Source organism: Homo sapiens, chromosome 4 (assembly GCF_000001405.40).
Source record: "Homo sapiens chromosome 4, GRCh38.p14 Primary Assembly".
NCBI lineage: Eukaryota > Metazoa > Chordata > Mammalia > Primates > Hominidae > Homo > Homo sapiens.
Window position 1 is genome coordinate 153,519,213 of NC_000004.12, and position 24,657 is coordinate 153,543,869.

A 24,657-nucleotide genomic window follows, 5' to 3' on the forward strand; every position below is an offset into this window, starting at 1 on the left:
TTGGTAGGGAAAGTTCTCTGGAATTTCAGCAGTTGTTCTGATGTCATGTGTAAATATTATCTTTCTGTGTTGCAGCTTGGGGCCAAGCTTTTCATGGAAACTGCTGAAAATTATTTAGTGGCATAGTAGTTGTTTTTGAAGTTGAAGACTTTATACCCAAATCCAGATGGACGAATCTTTCACTTTCTTGCTACAGATTTTGTGAAGAAGTGTTACTCAAACTTTAGGTGACATTAACACCATAAGTGTGTTAGGGGAAGAGCTGGGATAAAGGGATGGAGATGCTTTGAGCTGCTACAGTAGTTTGCACATTCTTACCTGTCTGACTCTATTTGCCATCACATATAGAATGTGGAGAATGACCAAGCAATCTTAAACTTTAATAATTGGGTTTACATAGGAAGGAAACAACAGGCAAATCTAATTGTAAAGCAGAGACATGCATTTAGTACATAGATAATTGGACCAATTTCAGAGACAGAAATGAAGGAAAAATGAGCCCCACAGGCTTGAGGGTCAAGCTAGGCTGTAAGACAGAAATTCACTCTGCATTTCTAGGAAGATGGCTTGTGGCTTTTACACAGGAGGACTCTGAAGAACCTGCTATATCAAGTGTCAGTTATGTGCAAGAAACGGGATTAGATACTGTGGATGAATAGGGAAGTTTACTAGTCCTTGACCACAGGGAGTTCACACATTAATACACATGAAAACAAAACTGCCAGGGTAAAGCCCAGTACATCCTAAATGCCAAGTGAATGATATACACAATAGCCAGTTGCTCAGTGGAAGAACCAGAAATTTGCCTGGGGAAGGTCTGTGTAGACTTGCTTCCATATCTGCACTGACTTTGGGGGTCAGGGGATCTCTTAAGGCTTTGAACAAACACGGTCCATCTTTCTTGGTGCCAGTTTTACTTAAGATTTGGAAGGAAGATTTTTATATTAAAATAAACTCTGCCAGGCACGGTGGCTCACGCCTGTTGTTATCGCAGCACTTTGGGAGGCTGAGGTGAGAGGATTGCTTGAGCCCAGGAGTTTGAGACCAGCCTAGGCAACATAGGGAGACCCCACCTCTGCGTTAAAAAAGAAAAAAAAAGATTAAAAAAATTAGCTGGGTGTAGTGGCACTCGTCCGTGGTTCCAGCTACTTGGAGGCTGAGGCAGGAGGATAGCTGATCACTGGAGGTCAAGGCTGCAGTGAGACATGATCACACCATTGCTCTCCAGCCTGGGCAACAGAGTGAGATCCTGTCTCTGATAGATAAATACATAAATAAAAACTCAAAAGCTGGAAGAGAGTGCTCAGTTTGCATACATCTTAAAAATAGATGACTAGTCCTCAATATTTTTCACACTTTGGGCAGGAAACTGGGAAGGCCCTAGGTCTCCAGTGCAGATCGTTCTCCTCTGTCAGTAATTTGGGGGCAAAGTTTGAAAAGCGCTGATGAGAGATTAGCAAGGGCTATCTCTGTGCCCTGTCTCTTCTTCTTTCCTTAATAACTGAGCGGGTTTAGTGAGGAGCAGTTATTTCTGTGACATAAATGGGTGTGCTAGAGATTCATGATTGGAAGTGATTAATAATTAACTGTGAAGAATTGGAGCACGACTTAAAGTACGTCGTGTTTAGAATTAGTTAATGGGAAGGACTGGGGACCCTTTCCCAGGGGTAATTGTAGCTTCTGCTTTTTCAATCAACGTCTTTGGATCCTTTACTTCCTGGAATTTATAGAGCAGCTGTTCAGTGTGTCTGCATTAAAGGAATGAGTAGGTGAAGTGACTTGCAGTCCTCCCTGGGAAGCCAGTTCTTTGTGTGTGTGATTTTGGGGAGGGGAAGTGGTTGTAGGGAGTATCCACTGGGGAGTAGCACTGCCCACACATTAACTTGAGCCACTTTCCGGCTCTGTGATCTGGGGCCTTGTTTCTGCATGTGTAGAATGGGGATGATACTGACTCTTCTAGGCTTGTGAGGATGGAGGTAATGTGAATAACCATTAGGGATTCAGCACCATCAGGGTGGTGGCTGTGGCGGCTGTCAGGGATAATGGTGCTGATATCATTGAGAAGGGGCGGGGTGGTTATTGCTCCAGGGAAAAGTCTGGGCCGTGGCCTTCCAGGCAGGACCGTTTCAAATGCGTGTCTCCTCTTGATGTTCTAGCTAGGAAGTGAGTCTACATTATAATCACTAGAACCATTGTACATTGCTATAGGAAAGGACACGTGCTGTTAAATACAGATAGACCTTATTTTGCACCAAATACATTCCTGAAAACTGTTCTTTTTACTTAGTTATTTTTTAAATTGGGGTACAATAGACGTAACATTAAATTTACCATTTTGACCATTTTTAAGTGTACAGTTGAGTGGCGTTAAGTATACCCATGTTACAGAGCAACTATCGCCACCATCCGTCTCCAGAAATCTTTTCATCTTGTAGAACTGAAACTGTGCCCATTGAACAATAACTCCTCATTCCTCCCTCCCGCTCAAGCCCGTAGCACCCACCCTTTTACTTCCGTCTCTGTGGATTTGACTACTCTGCGTGCTTCATAGGAGGGAGAATCATACGTTACTTGTCTTTTTAGGATTGGCTTCTTTCATTTAGCGTAATGTCTTCAAGATTTATCCATGTTGTTGCATGTGTTTTCTGTGTTTTTTTTTTTTTTTTGTTAACATCATGTTGTTATTACACAAGAAGTGCATGTTTATTTTACAGTTTTTCAACAGTATACAGAAGAATAAAAAGATTACATTATTCCCCTACCCAACATAACTTTTGTTATTTTGGTGTATGTGCTTCTACTGAGCCTGCAACTTAAAGCAGAATCGTTTAGAGTGAAATCTTACACGTGCTGCCCTGGGACCTCTGGTTTTCTTGGGTGTGAGAGGAACTGTTGAATGTAAATTTTCAAGAGAGTGAGAAATCAAGTGTGGGTCTGTGAGGCTGTGGTGAAGGAGCCGGAGGAGAAACGTGGAGTGGTGAAGTGGGAACCCTCAACCGCCATTTGTGAAATGGGACGTTCTCACCTTTGAAGCTTGAGCTTGTGGGTTTTGAGTTCCTGTTTTGTGCCCTTTTAATGTCAACTTTCTAAGTTCATAAGTTGGTAGGAAATAGGTGTCCTAACTTCCATTGTGTGCAGATAATAGGAGACTTAAATAAAAGGTGGGTGAGAAGCAGGGATGTTGCATGCCAAGCACTAGGGGAAGGAGGAGACCGGGATGGAAGTAAACGTGAAGGCAGTGCTGCGGGCAGAGGGACCGCCCTCTGGGCTCCCTGGGACTCGGTCTGTGTGGCTCTTCCAGGAAGCGTGACCCTTCCCCCTGCCTCATGCTATTTCTGCCAGAACGCTTTGGTGCCCTACCGAGCTCTCTCTTCTCGTTTGGCTCCACCCAGTAAGATGGAGTTCCTTAAGAGCAAGGTCCTTCAGTTATTTCTTATTTTTTATCCCCAGCACCTAGCTGGGTTCCCTCGCCCTAGCCAGTCTTTAATAAATGCTTCTTGGAATGAAAGAATGAGAGCCTGCCCAGAAGGTGGTCATTCCCATATCTCATCGTGTGCCACAGCCCATTTCATTTCTCACCTCACCTCCCCATCCCCATCCTTTGTGAAGTCCCCTTCCTGGAGGGCCTCCCCATCCTCCCACTATCACTGCCCACAGACTACTTTGAGCAATGGGTTGCTTGAAGCCCTGCCTTGAGTTACACTGGGTGATCTAGACCAGGCAGAGGAAATCCCCATTGCCTTTGCCTGGGCTACAGAGCTTGGGTTTTCCCTTAGTCCACTCTGATACATGGTAGTTAGACTTTATAGGACTTAAGGATGAGTAGGTTTTTGTGGCTTGGTTTGCTCACCTAATCATCAACGTACTGTGTTTCTTAGTTCTTAAAAAAAATAGTTTAAGGCCATAGGATTACCTGTATTTTTAACTTTTGTGCCCTTAGAATTTTATGTTAGAATAAAATCTGAAATATAGTTTCTTGTGACTATAATTCCCAAATGTTATGTCAGGCATTGGCAAGCCATGTTATTTAAAACTGCCAGAAGTATGTTGCCTTTTAAGTGGAAGTATTTGTGAAACGTATGAATTTCCTAGTATCCCTCTAGGCTGCTGTGTGTTGAATGGAATTCCTTCTATAAGACGTGAGATTAGGCAGTTTGCCTTAAGCTAGCAGAGGGGACTAGCTATTCATTTTAGGAATGAATGGAGGCCAGAGAGAAGCATAATAAGCCAAAACTTAAAATTCAGAAGGGAAATAGCACTACATTGTTTAGGAGGAAACTAAATCTGTGGCATAAGTCTGAAGGTAAGACTTGGTAAAAAGAAGGGGAAGTCTTTGAGGAAGAAGAATTGAGGCTTTAGAAAATGCAAAGGCTGACATTTGCAGAGCTGGTCGGCTAGTTGTTTTGAAGAGGGTGCTAATGGGAAGCACTCAGGAGGTTGTGTGCTTCTAATTGGCCTCAAGTTTTATAGTTGAATTTTCATGGATCGTTATCATATTATTATTGATGGGATTATGGAGAAAAGTCTGCGGTTAGTGTTAAAAGAAAATTAAAATATTTCCAAATCAAGGCCACACCCAGAAAAGATCTCACCTTTACTCCTGCAGTCAGGCTGATAGATTACATAGCAAGTTGTATTTTGTTTTGTACCCCATACTCAGGGTGATACCCAAGGTTTTACCTAATCAGAGGAGGCCTCAGCCTTCCATAAAGGGAGCATGTTCTGTTTGATTATCAGCCCTGCCCTTACTTCATGACATAGTTTTCTCATTAGAAAATTCATGTTTATTGTAGGAAGATTAAGTAACTCAGAAAAGAACAAAGAGAATAAAAGTCGTCATCACCCAATCTCCTGGCTGAGAACTGATTTACCAGCACGTCTCACTTTAGGTTTTCTGTCTTTCCCATGTTTCACTTCTGTTTTTTTTTTTTTTTTTTTTCCTGTCTTAGCTGCAAAGTCTAGTGGGGAATTTGGCCCCTGGCTGCTCTGGATTGCCATTCTCAGAGCTTTGCATTCTCAGGAGTTCCCTTCCAGGGCATGTAGCCCAAGGACTCTGATGGACCTGCCCTAGGTCTCTCAGCAGAAGGAGGGGCAGCAGCTAAGTTGTGTGTGTCGGTTGAGGCCATAAGCGAGGGCTACTCCCTGCTGGCAGTCCAGGTCTTCTCCCACAACACTTTGTAAATTTTAAAAAGGCCAAAAAGAAAAATAGTTGCTAATATCAAGGACACAGATATATGTTTTAATGACTGACATTGTTTGCAGGTAAATATGTCAAAGGGAGAGTTATATTTTTATGAGCTTTATGTGTGTCTTATTTTGAAGACAGTTTATACAATAATGATGCATGCTTTTTATTTTAAGGGACTTTGTAAAGAAGATAAGCTTGTCTAATAGTGCATGGGATTGCTTGGTAGGAGGCCTAGGTTTGTTTCTTAGCTCAGCTGTTTAACCAGATCCTTGACTTTGGGCAAGCACCCCTCTGGGTTTCCATTTCGTGGCCTGGAGGAGGAGAAATTTAGACCCTGTGGTCTATTAAGGTTACTTCCAACATAAAACTCCCATGTTATGGGTTGAAGCCTGATTTTATCACTTTATGTTATTTAGAGGATTTGTAGCTGTGTCATAGATTTTGTGCAGTGTCGCCATTGCTGTGATTTATTTGGTGCCTTTGGCCAGGATGTAACCCTTCAATTACAGTGTAGTTCCCATGGGAAGGTATGATATTGGCTTCATGTTGTGGGTTCTAGGAATGTTCCATGGAGGTAAAGCAGGGGCTATCTCTGTAAGTAGTTTCATTGGATGGCTCGTGTTTTAGGACCACACTGCTGTTTGGCTAGTGAAGCATACGTAATGATGCTGAGTGTAATAGCACACTGTCCAGGTATTTGACAGGCATTTCTCTCTGGTTTATGGGTTGATGCGACTTGATACATAATGATTATTCTCCTTCTTTCCAATGTGTTTGAGTGGTGCACACAAATCAGGCATATATTGGAAAGTTTTAGGATTTTTTAAAAGGATTTTTCCGTTTTTAAAAACTTGAAATAGTGATTGTGATAGTACCTCTAGAGCCAGTGCCTGTTCTTTCATCACAGGTTTAACAGCCTCATAAGTAAATCCTTTTCCTTTCAGTTTCTTTTTTTTTGAGACTGGATCTCACTCTGTCACCCAGGCTGGAGTGCAGTGGCGCTATCTCGGCTCACTGCAACCTCTGCCTCCAAGGTTCAGGCGATTTTCGTGCCTCAGCCTCCCAGGTAGCTGGGGTTACAGGTGCACGCCACCACACCTGGCTAATTTTTGTATTTTTAATAGAGACAGGGTTTCACCACATTGACCAGGCTGGTCTCGAGCTCCTGACCTCAAGTGATCAGCCTGCCTGGGCCTCCCAAAGTGCTGGGATTACAGGCGTGAGCCACCGTGCCCAGCCCTTTTTCTTTCAGTTTCTTAATTTCTTTTTATTACTCTTGCTGCCTAAGTCTAACTGATTCTTCTCATTTGTTAGTGGGTTTCCCACTTAAATCTTCTCTGTATCAGTGTTTTTCAAATATTAAGGCGCACAGGAATCATCGAGGGATCTTGTTAGCTTGGAGATGCTGATTAAGTAGGTCTGTGGTGGGGCCTGCGATTCCACATTCCTTTATTTTTTATTTTTATTTTTTTTTTGAGATGGAGTCTCGCTCTGTCGCCAGGCTAGAGTGAGTTGGCACGATCTCGGCTCACTGCAGCCTCTGCCTCCCGGGTTCAAGTGATTCTCCTGCCTCAGCCTCCCAAGTAGTTGGGACTACAGGCACGCACTACTGCACCCAGCTGATTTTTTTGTATTTTTAGTAGAGATGGGGTTTCACCATGTTGGCCAGGATGGTCTTGATCTCTTGATCTCATGATCCGCCCACCTCGGTCTCCCAAAGTACTGGGATTACAGGCGTGAGCCACCACACCCAGCCTGCTACTCCACTTTTCTAACAGACTCCCAGGCGATGCGATGCTGCTGGTCTGTGGATCATAGTTTGAGTAGCAAGGGCATAAAGTTTGTGTAGGCCACACTTGGTCCACCTGTCCTCTCATCCACAGGCCTCTCTTCTCCTGTCCACTACCTGTATTGTTCATCTGAGAATCATTTATCCCTAACTTCAAGTTTCCAACACATGTTTTTTGAGCACTCCCTCCTGCAGATACTGTATTGGATAGAGGATGCAGGGATGAAGGACGCACTCCCTGCCCTCAGGAAGCTTGCTGTCTTGGCCGGGCACGGTGGCTCACACCTGTAATCCTAGCACTTTGGGAGTCCGAGGCAGGTGGATCACGAGGTCAGGAGATTGAGACCATCCCGGCTAACACGGTGAAACCCCGTCTCTACTAAAAAATACAAAAAAAAATTAGCCGGGCGTGGTGGCGGGCACCTGTAGTCCCAGCTACTCAGGAGGCTGAGGCAGGAGAATGGCGTGAACCCGGGAGGCGGAGCTTGCAGTGAGCGAGATCACGCCACTGCACTCCAGCCTGGGTGACAGAGCAAGACTCTGTCTCAAAAAAAAAAAAAGGAAGCTTGCTGTCTTATATGAGGCCAGTAGCACTTGTAAATAGCTCCTGTCGTGTTGTGAAATGTGCTATAACAGAGATAGGTGTAAAATGCTGCAGAAACACAGAGGAGGGGTAAATTGTTCTGGTAATTAAGGGTTCACATCATGTCTATTCTGTTGAGCGGGCGTGTAGGTTTTGGGGCCTTGAGAGAGGGCCTGCATTTATTGTTTATATGTATCTTTGTGTCCCTTTTGTCTGGGACAATACCTGAGACATGGCAATTAAATGTTGAATGCATGAGGTTATTTAACCCTCCATGAAAGACTGAAGATCCCTTTTTAGGAATCAGATGACCATCTTTTTTCAGTTGCACTTCTGACACAAAGCTCATGTTGGCTACAGTCCATTGATGTTTTAGGATTTGGGGTTATTCTAGCAGGTACTTGTGACTGACAATAGTAAATGAATCTTGCAAGGGGGAGGTGAAAGTAATTTTCATCGTAATTATCATTTGGTGACTTGTTGCCAAATCTTCAGTTTTTTTTCTTTGTGGGGGGGCGGTGATGAGGTCTCATTCTGTTGCCCAGGCTGTAGTGCAGTGGTACGATCTCAGCTCACTGCAGCCTCCGCCTCCTGGGTTCAAGCAATTCTCCCACCTCATCCTCCCGAGTAGCTGAGATTTCAGGTGTGCACCACCATGCCCGGCTAAGTTTTTGTATTCTTTGGTAGAGACAGGGTTTCACCATGTTGCTCAGGCTGGTCTTTTGAACTCCTGGGCTCAAGTGATCCGCTTGCCTTGGCCTCTCAGTGTGCTAGGATTACAGGCATGAGCCACTGGCCCAAATCCTGAGTTTCTTCTCGTCTTTTTTATAGTGCATTGATCCAAATCAGGCAAGTGTATGTGACCCCACCCCTGCCCTGATTTAATGTTTACTTCCTTTTCTTCATAGTTTTATAACTTGTTGCCAGTGAAAGGATCAGAATTTGGGGGTCTTTCGTGTTTGAGGAAACGCAGCCCAGGAAGGGAACCCAACACGTTTTACCTGGCAGCGTGTGGCTGAGCCTGGAGTGTCATCTTGGGCCCCTGACTCTGAGGTGAAGGCTGTTTCTGCAACATTTGGGTCTAACCTCGTCCTTTTACTGCGACCTGCCTCAGGACCACCTTGCATTTGTCTCTCTTCAGTTTCCTCTTTTTTGGTACTATATGCGTACAACTTCGAGAAGCTTCTGTAATTTTAGTTCAGTTTGTGTGTTGTGCAGCCATACCATTAACTGAGCAGGTTCTTTTCCTCACCGTCTGGTCTGAATTTCCTTGTCCTGCGGAAAGGCATTGCCTGCCACGCCTTGTTGAGTTCTCTCATCTCTGAAATAAAGAGGAAAATAGACGTTATACATTTTGAAAGCCTCAGTTTACTTCCAGGTTTTGGCATAATATAAAACAGGTTACAGCTTGCCTCTTCAGGTGGATTATTTAGTCGTAAAAATGGAAACTTATTGATAGGGAAAACCCAGCCTACGAAAACAGAACAGAGCGCAAGACTGCGTTTGAGCTCCCAGCAGTTGGCATTGGTAGATTTGTGTGGGTGATAAAACATAAGTTTTGTATTTGATGTATCCTTTTCCAGTGAAGTGGGAAAACTGTGACATGTTTCACAATATTGAAAAAAGCGTACCAGTTTTAATATAGAGTGTGAAGTCTGGTGGCAGTAATGCAGATAAACCATTCCCCTTTGGAAATTTAGGGGCTTTAAAAACAACAAAACAAATCACAATAAGGTAAGAAAAAGTGTAAGTTCAAAAGCAGGTAAAGGAGGAAAATACTTTTAAATTTAAGGAGGAAATTGCTTTCTCACTTGCATTCTTTTTAATGTTTTTCCTACTTTCCCTAAAATAACAGAACCTGGTCTCTTATAGGTTCTCTGCCTAGGCTGTCTCGTAATGTGTTCATATTAAAGTTGCTGTTCCACAAGCAAAGCAGGTACAGCGTATGCCTCTGTTTCAGAGCTTCCAAGCCTAATAGAAATAGTCTTGGGGAGAGAGGGATTTGGTTGGGGGTGGGGGAGCCAACCCCTCCCTCGGAGAGTGTGGGCCACAGATAGGGTAGACTTTGAAACTCAAGAGAAACATCTGCAATGGTTTCTTATCTGACCATGCACAGTGTATGGTGGGTCACACCAGTCTTTGAATTTTGGCACCCTTTCGGTAGGGTAAGTTTCTGTGGGTCTGGCCTCCGAGAGTTGTGGCCTCCGGATTAAAGAGGTGGGATCCAGTGAGCTGAGGAAGAACCTTCCATTGCTTTTATCCCCACTGTCCAGAGGGTCCCAGAGACTGCCCATCAGTTGCCTGTTCTGTGATCACTGGTGATTTCTGGGAGGTTTTGTGATTAATTTTATCTCGGTGCTTATGAGAAATGACACTTAACCTCATGTCTTTGAACCTTGACTTTCATCTGTAGAAAATGGAAATGTTCTGTTCCATAGAGAGTCAGTTGTACTTGCACTGGTAAAAGAAATGATTGATTACTTTGAATATTCTATTTAAGGAAATGGTACACAGCATACTTCTAAAATGTAGATGGGATGGAATCCTTTTTACAAAAGAAATGAAAGTAAAATTTCCACTAAAATTGGCAAGCTTTTGTGGGTGTACCTGTTTCATCTTCAGCATGACTTGAAGAGGAACTTTAGTCAGTGTATATGTTTCCACTTACTGAAAGTGAGTATGTAAAGTAACTAAACCTATAGTGGACTCTTTATTTAGAAATAGATACTGCTACTTTGGAAGGGAGTGGATTGAAAGAGTTGAAAAACTAAAGAGAAGAGAAAACTGAATCCTTGGGGGGAAAATCTTAATGCAAGCACAAATATAACACCAAATTAAATCTAGGAGGAAAAGTAGTTTGAGCACAAGGGAAAATAAATTTTAAAATTTAAGGGTATGTGTACGTTTTATGTCACGCTGTGGTATACTCTCTGGTCTGAATCCTTGTGATAGGAATGATTTCATTTGCTTCAAACACCTCCCTTTTTCTCCCCTACCCCCTTCACATAACCTGTGGGAGATTTTCTGTATTTGGCTTATGCCCATGTTTTGAAGTCACACAGTGTATTAAGTAAGATCTGATTGCAAAAATGGTCTCTGTTAAAACAGGCTGTTACACAAGATGTTACCATATGTTCATTTCACGAGACCTCACACATGCTTTAAGGACCATCATTATTTCAAATCTAAGTAGTTTATAGTTCATATTTGTGTCAAATATTCCATTTGCAGCCTCTAAAATTCTTGCCATCTCTGTTGTCCTTTTTTTTTTTTTTTAGGTCTGTGCTGCTTCCTGGAGAATACAAACTCCTTGTAGTCAGGGTCTGTGTTTTATACTTTTATCCATTCACTACACCTAATGCTGTGTTGGATATAAGGTCCGGGAAATACTGTGTAAAAATTGCTGGTTGAATTTTGGCAGATCTTGGTAACGTGATTATCAGGATATTCCAGGGGAAGTGGCATTAGTATACTTAAACTGATAGTTTAAGTGTCATTAATTTGGTGGATGGTGGCATTTTGGGGAAAAGAGCCGGTTTATTGGATGATAAATCAGGACCCTGATCTAGACAGGCTGCATTATGAGCTAAATCAAAGAATAAATTCAAAAGATATTATTAGGTATGGTACAGTACTGGGACATGAACGAGCAGTTTCCCCACAGGAAGGGGAAATAGAAAAACGCCCAAAGGAAGTACTGTAGGTGAGAGAGACTTGAGGGTTGTTAGAGACTGCTTGAAAAGAGAATGCTGCATAGGCGTAGTTTGAAGTTGAGGGTCTTCTGTCCAGGGTAGGCTGGCTTGCTGTACTTGGTGCTGGCAAGTACCTTTAAAAGGTATTCATTGGGTATTTTCACAAGCACATTTCACTCATGCAAGTTCGACCTCTGGAGCATAGCAAAAAGTGAGTGATTTCGTCCCACTGTTTGACTGAGTTGATATCTGACATTGGACCAGCAGCAGTGACAGAGGTAGCTCTTAGGTCTTAGGATCGCAGCTGAGAGGATGTGGCTGACTCAGTAGTTCCAAGATAGCTTCCTGAGGCCCCCCCACTTTCCTGATGTGGCAGAGGCACCAGCACCCCTTGTGGGCCAGTTCCATGTGGTTCTGGGAGTCTTTCCTGGAGGCCCGGCATAGAGCCTGCTCCCTTGAACTCTTCAGTGATTTTATAAGCACCTAATTCTCTATATTAAATCCCTTTCTGCTTAAAATAGCTAGCTCATTTCCTGCAGCCTGACTCTGGCTGAGGCTGAAGAATTTTATAATGGGAATGAGCTGCATTGGAAACAGAAGTGTCACTGCAAGTATCCTGGAATGAGCAGCAGATAGATGGATAAATGGATCAGTGGTTCCCAAATGCATGTACTCAGGTTCCTTCTGCTCCCCTAGTGGATGCATGTACACTGGAATTGTCTGAGAGAGCTATTCCTCAAACACAGATTCCTAGGCTCTATCCCTAGAAATTCTGATACGGGGGAAGTGCTGGAACCCTTGAATCCATATTATCTCTGAGAGATGGCCACATTGGCTATTACTGGACTAAATTATTTCTTGACTCTAGGAGCCAGTGCCCATGAGAATTCTTTTTAAAAGGGAGGAAGTGTTTAGGAGCTACACATTTTTAAAGATTCCACTACAGAGGATATACCTTTTCTTGGATATAAAGGGATTAATCCTGTAAATACTGTCAGAATGTGAACTCTACAGGATTTCCCTCTTTTGTTATTACTGGAGGAAAGGAATATATTTCAAAAATGTTACTGAATCCAGAATAAAAATTGAGTTGTCTGTAATGAGAGTTAAAAATTCATGTGACTACCTTATTATACAGTATTTTATTATATAAACGTGGCATTTTACAGTATAATACGCTATTTTATTGTATAAAGTGCTGTTAGTATATTTTCTTATCTCTGTTTATAGTTAAAGGAAAAAGACAATGGAAGTTATTTAAAATCCGGAAATGCCTCCTAAGAAGAGAGGTCAAGGGATTATTTGGAGAACTGGCGAATTTAGGATAATTTTGTACTGTTAGAGTTTGCTGAGCTCTGGAAGCCAGGTGTTTTAAGGATCACATGTCTGGTGTAAGCACTTGTTCTTCTCTTATTCTATTTCCCCACCTCTCCACCACCTCCCCACCAAACCCCAGTCCTGATTTCTGCCCTTCTCTTCATCTTCTGGCCCTTTTAAGGTGCATGCTAACAGATGAAGAAGGAAATCACCATTGTTCTCCAGTCTAGTAGAGCCTGCTTGATTGAAATTGATTAGCTCTAGATGATTGGAGTCCTTGTAGCAGCAGGGGTTATATGTCAAATGGATCTCCACTGAAGGCCAAAGCTGTTCTTCCTCTGCAGCTGCCAGGCTGCTTGAAATTAGGCAGAATGATTTTGCACTTGGATAATAGTCAGGAATTAACTGCAGCTTACAAAGCACTGCATAATTATGGGAAATGTGGATGGTGCTAATCAAATGCATCTGCATATGGCATTTTCATTATGTACAGGAGGCGTATGTGTGCACAGAAAGGGAATGAGCTTGTGTAGAGCTTGTATGGGTACATGTGTGAGAAGATGCATCTGTAGAAATGGCCTCCTCTTTCCTACATGGAATCCTGACAGAATGATTGAATTAGGAGTCTGGCGTGTGTGCTTACTTGCTATTAGTGCTTTTTTTTTAAAAAAAAAAAAAGCTTTATTGAGATACAATTCACATGGCATACAATTTGCCCACTTAAAGAGTGCAACTCAATATTTTTTAGTGTATTTGTGGGGTTTTGCAACCAGCAGCACACTCTAATTTTAGAACACTTTTATCCCTCCTAAAATAACCTGTTGGTTCTTTTATAAAGAAAATGTAGTTTGTACTTTTCGACGGACACTTTTTCTTTTTTTTTTAAGTGGGAATTTCAGATCATCTTCAGCCTTTTGCAAAATTATACTGTTTCTCGGAAAGCATTTGTTTTTATAAATAGTCATAAAATGTTTCTTAACGTTCCAAAGGTTACCTGCTGACTTTTGGACACAATCTCATGAATTATGTTTTAGTTGCTGGGTTCATGTACCTACTAGTTGGAATCTTTTCAGCTTCAAGTGACAGATTTCACTCAGCTAGCTGACGCATTAAAGGAACTCATTGGCCCTGGTAACCTGGAAGAAGCAGGGGTATTAGCTTCAGGCACAGGTGGATTTAGGGATTCTCTCTCTTTCTCAATTCTTTTTTTTTTTTTTTTTTGAGACAGAGTTTCGTTCTTGTTGCCCAGGCTGGAGTGCAGTGTTGGCGATCTTGGCTCACCACAACCTCTGTCTCCCGGGTTCAAGCAATTTTCCTGCCTCAGCTTCCCAAGTAGCTGGGATTACAGGCATGCACTACCACACCCGGCTAATTTTGTATTTTTGTAGAGACGGGGTTTCTCCATGTTGGTCAGGCTGGTCTCGAACTCCCGACCTCACTTTATCCACCCGCCTTGGCCTCCCAAAGTGCTGGGATTACAGGCGTAAGCTACCGCACCCAGCCTCCTTCTTAATTCTTTTATTTCCACATTGGCCACGTTCACCCCATTATAAGTAGGGGGACTGCGTGTGGGAGTGGGGCGCACATCTGCAGCAGCAGTGGCGGAGGGGAGGCTGCCAATCAGGTGCTGAGCCTCACCTCAGTTTGCCTGTATTTTGTGTCACTGGCTTATAAATTACTCTAGGTTTTGATTTATTTCTTCATTCTGGGATTACAGATCTATTCATTCAAGCAGTGGAACTAAAAGAACCATCTCAGGCATGCTGCAATAACCAATGTTGCTGATTCAGATGGTTAGTCAAAGCATTTGAACCAGGCCCAGGCTGTGGGTGCTACTTTCTAAAAGATTCTCCCCAAGCCAAGGGTTACCAACTTGGACCTCCTCTTACAGTCCTGTTTGAGCATGATCCACCTGATCAGGCAATTTCTAGCTTAATCTCTTTCTAAACTTTTCATTGCCTGGTTCAGTACCTTATTTTCCTTAGTAGGATCCTATGTTTTTTGCATTTTTAAGTTTCTTAGTTGTCTTGCCCTCTAACATTTACAGCATTCGTAATTTAGCAAATCACTAAATGTTGTATTTGTGATTGGCATGAATAGACCCGATATATTTTTTAAGCTGAAAAAGAAATATAACCAACCTGACATTGGTTTTTAAAAGTATTCTATACATACTTTTATTGTTTTGGTAAATTAGATTTGGTGAAGGTTTTGGTTGAAGTTTGGGAAACGTTTTTTATGATTCTGCAGTTTCTGACATGCTAGGATGAAGCCAGCTTTATACTGAGTAATTAAAAAGAAATATTATGAGGCCTGAATTGTGATTTTATAAATCAATGACACCGGTTTGGGAAGGTTTTCTTTCACTCAACAAATGTTACCGAGTGAGTGTTCTGTAAATACAAAACAGCAAACCAAATAGACCAAAATCTAGTGGACCTTGCAGTCTAATAGGATGTGAGAAAGAGAAAACTGCGAAACTAAATTTTATGGATGTTATAAGGTGATATGTGGTATAGAAAAAGTGGAAACAACCGGTCAAGGGAAAAGAGGATGAGGATTGTGGTGTGGGCTGCAGCTATAAACAGGAGGTTGAAGCTTATTAAGAGGGTGAGATTTTACAAGGATTTGAAGGAGGTGGAGGATTTATTTTTATTTTTTATTTTTTTTGAGACAGAGTCTTGCTCTGTCGCCCAGGCTGGAGTACAGTGGCGCAATCTCAGCTCACTGCAACCTTTGCCTCCCGGGTTCAAGCGATTCTCCTGCCTCAGCCTCCCTAGTAGCTGGGACTACAGGCGTGTGCTACCACGCCCGGCTAATTTTTTGTATTTTTAGTAGAGACGGGATTTCACCATGTTAGCCAGGATGGTCTCTATCTCCTGACCTCGTGATACGCCCGCCTCGGCCTCCCAATGTGCTAGGATTACAGGCGTGAGCCACGGCGCCTGGCCAGGAGTTGGAGGATTTGATGGAGATGAGGGAGTTTGCCATGAGGCTGTCTGGGTGAAGAATGTTCCAGATAGAGAGAACAGCCACTGCAAAGGACTTTAAGGTAGGAGGACCATATACTTGGGATATTCCCAGTGAAGCCAGAAGACCCTTGTGGTGAGAGCACCGTGGGTACAGACCTGGAGAGGGGTGTGGAGTTGGTGAGGTCACAGGGAGAGCACAGCGTGAGGCCTTGGAAATGCGGAGTTCTTGTGGGGATTTTGAGCAGAGCAGTGATGCCATTTGAATTAGGTTTAAAGAGGCCATGCTGGCAGTGCTGAGCCTGGGTGGCAGGGAAACCAGTGAGGCCCTTACAGCCAGGAAGCAAGAGATGGAGAGACATGATGGGTGCTTGGATCAGGTGTGGCAGTGGGCCTGGTGAAAGCGGAGCTCATGGGATTTCCGATGGATGGGATGCGGGGTGTGAGAAAGAGAACAGTTAGGGATGACTCCAGGGTTATTGGCTTGAACAACTGAGCGGAGATGGCTGTGGGCAGTTGGGTGTGGGGGTAAGATCAGGAGCTCAGTTTCACACCTGTTGAGTTTTGGGATGTCTTTTCGACATTCCAGAGCACATGTGGATGGGCAGTTGGGAAGGGTGCTGGGCTAGAGATGTAAATTTGGGGTGGTGTTTACAGCCTTCACGTTGGATCAGATAAGCATTGAGTCATTTTAGATTGCTTAGAAAAGAGGACCAGGGTCTGGAGCCTGGGGTGTCTCTGCATTCAGAAGGGTGGTAGAGGAGACTGAGAGGTGGCCAGCGAGTTAGGGGAAGTGAAGCAACATAACAAAACCAATTATTTAAAAGCTAACTTTTGTTAGCTTTTAAATAATTTATTAATGTGGAAATATGCTGTTTGAATCAAAAAAAGAAATAACTATAAGCTGTATTTAGGAAGAGTGTACCTTCCTATTGCTCTTGAGTTTTCAAAAAGCACATCGTTCTGAACATCTTTAATATTCTCACAGGTTCAGAACCATTTTGGAGAGTCAGGCAAAAGGAAAGTGTCTGATATTCTACTCATCCTAACGTTGCTGTTAATATTTTGGTATTTGCCTTCTCATTTTCCTTTGTATATTTTTTTTAGTTGTAATCTTGTTGCACACAGCAGCTTTGTTTCCTTTTGTTTACTTGTCACGGCAACGGCAGCACTTTTTTCATGTTGCTGTTTACAATCTTCAAAACACAATTTTTATTGGAGCGCTCTGCTTCTTTTGGAATGGGTATTTATTGAGAGAAGGATTGAATGGACAAAACCACGTTGCTACCAGCTGATCTTTGCTTTTCCCTGCCTTCCTGCACATCTGCATAGGATTCATACCGTGCTTTGTCTGGGGATGGAGAATGCTGGAAAGACAGGGGAAGTTGTTAGGATCTGGGCTGAAAATCCAGGAGCAAGACTGGGGCAGACCTGGCCACTGGGGGGGTTAACAAGCTGCTGATGGGGCAGAGGGAGTGAGGGCCTGTGGAGAGGGACTCCTGGGCTTGAGGGACCACGCAGGGCCATTCTTTCTTTTGCAGACATCTTCAGCAATAACACTTCAGTGCCTCAAGGGTTTGAAAGAAGAATTACAATTTAAAAGGAAAACTCTTCATGTATGATTTGCATATGAGTGGCATCTGTATAATTAAGAACAATTAAGTTCCCTGAGCTGAATTGAAAGGGAGGCTCCTGCTTCAGTTGCTGCAGTGCCTGCAGTGCAGCCTCTAGCTGTCAGGGCACTGGAGTTCTGTTGGAGGCATTCTGCCCACCTCCCCACAACCTCTAATAAAAGAAATCCTGAAACACTTTGCTGGGTGCTTGGCAAAACTCTTTACAAACACATTTCATTTAATCCTCACAATGGATTTAGGGGGTCTGTGTCAGTCAGATTCTCTAGAGGGACAGAACTGACAGAATCGATCGATCTATCTAGCTATCTGTCTTGTCTGTCTGTCTGTCTATCTATCTCCCTCCCTCCCTCCCTCCCTTCTATGTATATATATAAAGGGGAGTTTATTACAAAGTATTAAACTCACCCGATCACAAGGTCCAATAGGTTGTCTGCAAGCTGAGGAGCAAGGAAACCAGTCCGAGTCCCAAAGCTGAAGAACTTGGGAGTCTGATGTTCCAGGGCAGGAAGCATCCAGCACGGGAGAAAGCATAGGAAAAAGATGTTGGCTGGGAGGCTAAGCCAGTCTAGCCTTTTCATGCTTTTCTGCCTGCTTTATATCCTGGCTGCGCTGGCAGCTGATTAGATGGTGCCCACCCAGATTAAGGGTGGGTCTGCCTTTCCCAGCCCACTGACTCAAATGTTAATCTCCTTTGGCAACACCCTCACGGACACACCCAGGATCAATACTCTGCATCCTTCAATCAAGTTGATACTCAGTATTAACCATCACAGGGTCTTACCTTAATTTTATAATAGTGGAAACTGAACTTCTGATCACAAGAGCATTAGATGATCTCTTGTACTCATCTTTATGGTTAACTCCACCTTTGTAGATTGTTCCTGATTGGGACCCAGTGAACCTGTTACAGGAAAGAGGTTCTGATCTAGACCCCAAGAGAGAGTTCTTGAATCTCACACAAGAAAGAATTCAAGGCAAGTCCATAGTGCAAAGCAAAAGCAGGTTTATTAAGAAAGTAAACGAATGAAAGAATGGCTACTCCATAGTCAGAACAGCCCTGAGGGCTGCTGGTTGCCCATTTTCATGGTTATTTCTTGATGATATGCTAAATAAGGGGTGGATTATTTATGCCTCCCCTTTTTTGACCGTATAGGGTAACATACTGATGTTGCCATGGCATTTGTAAACTGTCATGGCGCTGGTGGAGTGTAGCAGTGAGGACAACCAGAGGTCGCTCTTGTGGCCATCTTGGTTTTGGTGGGTTTCGGCCGGCTTCTTTACTGCAACCTGTTTCATCAGCAAGGCCTTTATGACCTGTATCTTGTGCTGACCTCTTATCTCATCCAAGACTTAGAATGCCTTAACTGTCTGGGAATGCAGCCCAGTAGGTTTCAGCCTCGTTTTACCCAGCTCCTATTTAAGATGGAGTTGCTCTGGTTCAAAAGCCTCTGACAAACCTGTAGGAATTTAGCCTCATTGTTTCTTCCACTGCTGTGTTATATCTGATGGACTCCTTTCTCCCTAGACTAACTGGGAAGCAAGATGCAACTTTCCCTGATTTTTTCTCTTCTGATTTTGCAAGAACTCTGCAGTTTCACACAACACTGAACAACTTTAAGTAGAGCGGGAACACAAGTATTTTCCCTTGTAAGGTTCCTGCCAGCCACCCCACAGGAAGGAGGTAATGTGTATCGGTATTTGAGGATGTTTTAAGCAATCTTCAAAGAGTAGGATAATTCTTACCCCTTGCCTTCCCTGAAATGTAAATGGCAGTGGTTCTTATTGACTATGCTCCTTCCAGGACTTTGTTCCTTCCAGGTGGGGATGTCACCTGTGTGCTCCTTCTAGCACCTCTTTTCTTTCTGGTGTGGCCACATCAGTCTGGAATACCCTCCCACCTTTGGTTCCCTGAAGCATCTCATGGAGGTCCTTGTACGTCCCTGCAGGTCTAGTTACGAAGCAGAAGGATAGGCTCTAAACCAGTCACATGCAGGCACTTCCCAGTTTACATCAGTGCAGGGCCAAAGCCACCCTAGGCCCCCACCAGAACCAATGGGTTTTCCCAGTGAAAGACAGCAGGAACCATCCTTTCCATACTTAGGATTTTCTTTGTTTTACCATCAGATTTGGGTTATGTTTGAGTGACTTTTATTGCTTCAGCCACTTAGCTTTCTGGTTTATTGGGATGCTCTGCTTCTGGCCGCCCTGAAAGGCTGGCACTGCTGAAAAACCCGCCTCCCTCAGGGCAAGCAGGGGCTGGAGTGATGAGGCCATGTAGTATTAGTTCCGCTGAGCAGCTGCTGCTGGCAATTTCTGGTGTTGGAAAAGAATGGGAAGCTGTTCCAGTTAGAATTAAAGCTTACATCTTAAGAGAGTGTTTTCTCTCTCCTGAGAGAGTCTGCAGATATGCAGCCGCTGGCTCCAGGAAGTCTTTAGGGACCCCACGTCGCCTTCCCCAGGGTACTGGGATCTCCTACTCGTGGGACAAGGTGGAGACGTTTGTTTTCCTGGCAGCAGTTTGGAAACTGCCGGCGCGATACTTCGGCTTTCACCCCATTTGCTGGAACTTAGTCCCGTGGCCGTACCCAGATGCAGAGAAGCCTTGGAAATATGCCCACTTAAAAATTCCATTATGTGAAAGAAGACGAGAAGGGGGGATATTAGGGGCCAAAGAGCAACCTCTGTCACAGAACCTTGGGAAAGAAACAGTGAGATCTTTACCATTATTTCTCAAGGAAAAATTGCTTTTCATACAACATATGTTTAAGTCACATACCTCCCCCAAAAGGGGGGGAGGCGGAAAAAAACCCAACAAAACAAACACCCAGCAGTCCTCTGACTTGTGTTAAGGAGTCCTTGTTTTTCTGGGCACACTCTAGACTGGTTTCTCCAGTGCCAGTGTTTGTTGGGTTTCATATAAGAAAAATCGTTTTTAAAGTCCTCCTCTGACAGTGGGGTTATATTATATAAGTGAGCTTGGTGATAGTAAATTATACTTTATGGGCAAGTGTGTGGTCTATGCTAGTCTGCTGAATGGACAGCATGAAACTTCAATTAAAAAGGTTTCTGCTGCATTCCGTTTTAAAAACATTATGTTCAGAGGCTAGATTTTTTTTTTTTTTTTTTTTTTTTTTGAGGAGAGAAGACTTAACTTTTTGAATAATGACATATTGTCTGGGTATTCTGAGAGATGGGACTGGGCCCTGGTGGAGTGAAACACTGATATACATGTTAGTATTGTGCTCGACTGTAACAGCTGCTGTGAAGCAGGAGGCTCCCTTGCTCCTGCCGGCTCCTTTACTCATGAGGCTGGTCCTTCAAAGAATAGTTAGAAATTTTTCATTAGATTTTTCTGGCAATCTTGTTAACATTCTTTGTATTTGTCTGAAGATCATTTTGAGATATTTGCTCATATTGGGACTTTAAAAAAAAAACACCTGTCAGGGCCGGGCACGGTGGCTTACGCCTGTAATTCCAGCACTATGGGAGGCCGAGGCAGGCGGATCCCCTGAGGTTGAGAGTTCCAGACCAGCCTGACCAACGTGGAGAAACCCCGTCTCTACTAAAAATACAAAATTAGCCGGGCATGGTGGCGGGTGCCTGTAATCCCAGCTACTGGGGAAGGCTGAGGCAGGAGAATTGCTTGAACCCGGGAGGCGGAGGTTGCAGTGAGCTGAGATCGCGCCACTGCCCTCCAGCCTGGGCAACAAGAGTGAAACTTTGTCTCAAAAATAAAAACAAAAAAACAAAAAAAAAAACCCCAAAACAAAAAACATCTGTCAGTTCAGTGTGTTTTAGTAAAATATTATTCCGGGTCATAAAGTTACATAGGATTGTTCTTCGGTCCTACTGAGAAACTCTAGAAATTAATTATCTTTTGTACTTCACTTTTTATCTTATCAGCCTTTCTGTGATCTGTATGCCTTAACTTGTGTTTTTTCACTTCGTTAAAACTCTTCCTCCAGCCTTACCTGAAGACAGCACGTTCAGCCTTCTAGATCCTACTCAAATGCCACCTCTTCCAAAAGGCATTTCCTAACCTATTCCACGCCAGGTGATCTCTTCCTCTTGTGGATACTTAAAGTACTGTGGACTGTGCTCTCCCTTGTATCATATGTGTTATGTATTGTAGGAGGTGTGTGATACATACATAACACTGTGAGCCTGTGAAAGTTAGGCAGCCTGTTTTTATTTGCCTTTGGGGATTTCTGAATCTAACTGCCTTGGGTAGATAGAAGAAATGAATGTTGGTGGGATTTGGCATGTCTGCCTTTACAGTATGAATAAGTTCAGCTACCAAGTTGCTTAAAGTGTTATAGATGAGCTTTAAAACGTGGCTAGTGCACCTTTAGGAAACTAATAACTTAAATTTTTATGGACACTTTGAGAACTCACGGTTGGTTTTCTAAAAATAACATGCACGGTAATGCATGAGCTTGCATTGTCCACCCATGATCAAAGAGGAAAAAGTCCTTCATCCCTAGACTCCCTTATCTGCTTAGGGTTCGTGTGAATTTCTGCTTTGGCTTCTTTTTTTTATGTATAGTGTCTGGCAAACTCTGTTAATGCTGGAGGTATCTAATACTGAATGTTCGTGCTAACTTGTCCTAGAGCTGAAAGGTAATGCAAAATGTATTTTGTATTTTGCAGATGTTATAATCACATTTCATTATTTTAACATATAGTAGAGTGACCTACCCTAGCGTCTAGGAAAGATGTCAAATCTTTAAACCACAGAGGAGAAGCCATGAAAGTAAGGAGAAAGTTGGAATGGGAGTTGGAGTAAGGAGAAAGTTGGGATGGGAGTTGGGGAAATGTGAGCTTAATTGCTGGCCTATTCTTTAATAGGGTTTTGCAAAGTCCTTTAACTAGTTGGCTAAAGTAGATCTTTATAGTATGTGGAATGTGGTAAGAGTAAATATGTAAATATAATAATGTATTTTAAAATTCTTTGAATTGGAGAGAAAATGCCTTTTGGTCCTCATGGAATGTGGGGGTGAGGGACAGATTTCTTTGGTTGCACATGGAGTTATGGAAGACACAAGAGTCAGGGTATCAACAAAGCTTTCAGCTGGGCAGGTAGGCCAAGGCACTCACTGGCGTGGGAATATAGTACAGCCAGCTGAGGGGCGTTGCAAGCAAGATGGTGAACTGCATCTTTTATTCCATTGGGAGGTGCCTGTGGGCCATCCACGGGATGAGGCCTGGTACAGATGGAAACACGAGTCAGGAGCTCAGCAGAGTCTAGGCCACAGATACACAGGCTTGGGAAATGAATCAGTCAAACCACAGAAACCAAACTTTGGCTGATTTGAGCTGAAAAGATGTTGGGCAGCTGACAGAATCTCTAGGAAGACCAAAGAACCAGGCCCAGAAACCAAGCCGGCAAAAAGAGGGATTAGCAGCTAGAGCCACAGCCAAAAATATTCCATGGAAATAGACTGCTGAGAACCCCACCCCATCACTTACCCTGCTACAGTACTGCTGTGGTCCCCCAGGACAGATTCTTCAACTTCTTTGCTTCCTTGTGGCATCAGCTTGAGGAGGCCCTGCCTCAGGCGGGTAAATCTGGAGAAGTCTGGGTCATGGGCTAGCACCCCAGCTGTTAGTGGGGCTAGGTAAAACTAGTATCTGGCCCTTTCCGAATCCAGGAGGGATGACCATGGGAAATGTACCAATGCAGTAAAGGAAGATGCTGAACAGCTACAGTGATCACAAATGTCAGTGAAGGAAGCATTAATCTGTGGGTGATAGGCAAACCCACTGGATAGGTACAATAGGCTAGAGTGAGAAAAGAGTAGAGGAAGAGCTTTGGAAATGACAGCATGGAAGAGATAGGCAGAGGAAGAGGAGTTAGAAAGGGAGAAGGAGCAGCCACAGAGGTAGGAGGTAGTGGGGAGGTTTCCTGGAAACCAAGGGAGAGCCATTCAAGAGAGGGTAGCCAGTGGAGAGGCCAAGTCAGCTCGGTACTTGATTTCGCAGGCTGTGATCATTTATGACCTCAGCAAGGGCCACGTTGCAGAGAGGGCTGGGGCCAGAGAGCAGTCAGGTGGAGGCAGTGTAGTGAAGGGGCTGTGAATGCACGATCACATTCCCATTCAGCCACCCCACAGCCAGGTGCGCTTCGGCAAGTTGTTTAAATCCCCAGAGCATCTTTGTGTGCGAAAGTGCAATGGATGATTATTGGTATCCACATAGGGTTCTTAGGATTATATATAATAAAGTGCTTGGCACAACATCTGGTATACTACAAGTACTTAATAAATTTACTTGCTGTCATTGTTACATCACCTATGGTTTGGCTTCAAAGGGAAGAAGAGGACTTGAAGCGGCTAGGGAAGGTGAAGAAGGATCTTAAGTGAGCAGGGCATGATTCTTTTCATGTAAGTAAGTGGAGGAGACAGAGCTGGGAGGGAGATGGAAATCCTGGAGAGGGCAGGACAGGGGGCTGTGAGCCTGGGATGCATCCAGAAAGAGCAACTGTGGGGTTAGTCTGACAGACGCAATGTCTCCTCCTTGGATAGTGTGGATGCATAGGTCATCAGCAATATGAGGGACAGATTAGTGTGGATGACTTTTGTCGCTGTCTTAGGAAGGCCAGCCATCAACACGCTGGGCTGCTGTACATCCCCAGGTGCTGTTATTAGCGAGAGCGCCTCCAACAGACCACTCTTGGTATCGCTCCAAGGACTTTTTGATTCCTCTCTTTTGGTTTAATAATTGCTTTGACCTTGAAGCCTGAAGCTTTCTACAGTGAAAGAAACTAGGAAAATCATGTCCTACCAAAAAACTTTTTCTTATTGGTAGGATTTTAATGGAGAAAAATACTGGTTTCTGCCTCTATTGTTAAATGGTTCTTTTCAAGTAGTTAATTGACTGGTAAGAATGGCAGTTCCAGCTTAAGTAGCAATGCCTGTGTCTTTTATGTTTTTTCCTATCAGTAAACTTCTGGGGAGAAGTATTTTTTAAATTAAAAATAAAAACAGAAAAAACGACTTGTACTAAGATCATGATGTAGAATTTTATAACTATGTAGTTGTGTAACTCATTTAATAAATTGTGCAGCTTAGGCCATTTGTTTTTCAAGGAAGGCCCTAAAGGTCAGTGCCTTGCCTCAGTTCATAGGCGTTTCCAGGCAGTGAGAGCCTGGGGAAGGCCGCCGCCTGGAGTAACCAGTCTGATTGTTGGCATGCATCGGTATAGACACCCCCCAGGCTGGGACTTTTTATATCTGTGCAGGGATCGATTTGAAGTCCAGTTGCATAATGGAAAAATACTGAATTCCTCTAAGGTCCCAGGAGGTAGCAGCTGGGTCTTAGAAATACCTGTCTCCTGCTCAGAGGAAGATGGTGGTTGACTAAGTATCCCATCAGACACACTGTTTAGAAGAAAGGGACCAAGGAGATTAATGCAGGGATTTCTGCCATTATGGAGTCTCCAGGTCTCTTCCAGCATTTCCAGCTGTGGGATCTCTCATTTCTTTGA

General features: G+C 43.5%; 1 protein-coding gene and 1 long non-coding RNA gene across 42 annotated transcripts in view, besides 9 other annotated features; one reads left to right on the top strand and one right to left on the bottom strand.

The window, feature by feature from the left end:
- TMEM131L (transmembrane 131 like) overlaps positions 1 to 24,657 on the top strand; it is a 170,352-nt gene that overhangs the window by 52,853 nt on the left and 92,842 nt on the right. The gene's annotated exons all lie outside the window — the stretch shown is intronic.
- Positions 1,782 to 2,283: an enhancer, noted in NCBI's record as "NANOG hESC enhancer chr4:154442146-154442647 (GRCh37/hg19 assembly coordinates)". NCBI's record gives its function as "activates a minimal SCP1, AML or CMV promoter by ChIP-STARR-seq in primed H9 embryonic stem cells {active_cell/tissue: H9 hESC(primed)}" and the evidence as "EXISTENCE:reporter gene assay evidence [ECO:0000049][PMID:30033119]".
- Positions 3,567 to 3,616: an enhancer, noted in NCBI's record as "active region_22069". NCBI's record gives its function as "activates an Ori minimal core promoter by ATAC-STARR-seq in GM12878 lymphoblastoid cells {active_cell/tissue: GM12878}" and the evidence as "EXISTENCE:reporter gene assay evidence [ECO:0000049][PMID:35858748]".
- Positions 3,790 to 4,630: an enhancer, noted in NCBI's record as "NANOG-H3K27ac hESC enhancer chr4:154444154-154444994 (GRCh37/hg19 assembly coordinates)". NCBI's record gives its function as "activates a minimal SCP1, AML or CMV promoter by ChIP-STARR-seq in naive H9 embryonic stem cells {active_cell/tissue: H9 hESC(naive)}" and the evidence as "EXISTENCE:reporter gene assay evidence [ECO:0000049][PMID:30033119]".
- Positions 7,404 to 7,493: an enhancer, noted in NCBI's record as "active region_22070". NCBI's record gives its function as "activates an Ori minimal core promoter by ATAC-STARR-seq in GM12878 lymphoblastoid cells {active_cell/tissue: GM12878}" and the evidence as "EXISTENCE:reporter gene assay evidence [ECO:0000049][PMID:35858748]".
- Positions 7,504 to 7,553: an enhancer, noted in NCBI's record as "active region_22071". NCBI's record gives its function as "activates an Ori minimal core promoter by ATAC-STARR-seq in GM12878 lymphoblastoid cells {active_cell/tissue: GM12878}" and the evidence as "EXISTENCE:reporter gene assay evidence [ECO:0000049][PMID:35858748]".
- Positions 8,738 to 8,797: a silencer, noted in NCBI's record as "silent region_15763". NCBI's record gives its function as "represses an Ori minimal core promoter by ATAC-STARR-seq in GM12878 lymphoblastoid cells {active_cell/tissue: GM12878}" and the evidence as "EXISTENCE:reporter gene assay evidence [ECO:0000049][PMID:35858748]".
- LOC105377498 (uncharacterized) lies at positions 8,836 to 22,731 on the bottom strand. Its single transcript, XR_939363.3, has 3 exons — positions 22,642 to 22,731; positions 17,578 to 17,660; positions 8,836 to 8,881 (listed from the first exon to the last, which is right to left on the bottom strand). It is a non-coding gene; the product is annotated as an uncharacterized LOC105377498 (long non-coding RNA).
- Positions 15,205 to 15,781: an enhancer, noted in NCBI's record as "H3K27ac-H3K4me1 hESC enhancer chr4:154455569-154456145 (GRCh37/hg19 assembly coordinates)". NCBI's record gives its function as "activates a minimal SCP1, AML or CMV promoter by ChIP-STARR-seq in primed H9 embryonic stem cells {active_cell/tissue: H9 hESC(primed)}" and the evidence as "EXISTENCE:reporter gene assay evidence [ECO:0000049][PMID:30033119]".
- Positions 15,782 to 16,357: an enhancer, noted in NCBI's record as "H3K27ac-H3K4me1 hESC enhancer chr4:154456146-154456721 (GRCh37/hg19 assembly coordinates)". NCBI's record gives its function as "activates a minimal SCP1, AML or CMV promoter by ChIP-STARR-seq in primed H9 embryonic stem cells {active_cell/tissue: H9 hESC(primed)}" and the evidence as "EXISTENCE:reporter gene assay evidence [ECO:0000049][PMID:30033119]".
- Positions 16,872 to 17,377: an enhancer, noted in NCBI's record as "OCT4-NANOG-H3K27ac hESC enhancer chr4:154457236-154457741 (GRCh37/hg19 assembly coordinates)". NCBI's record gives its function as "activates a minimal SCP1, AML or CMV promoter by ChIP-STARR-seq in naive and primed H9 embryonic stem cells {active_cell/tissue: H9 hESC(naive and primed)}" and the evidence as "EXISTENCE:reporter gene assay evidence [ECO:0000049][PMID:30033119]".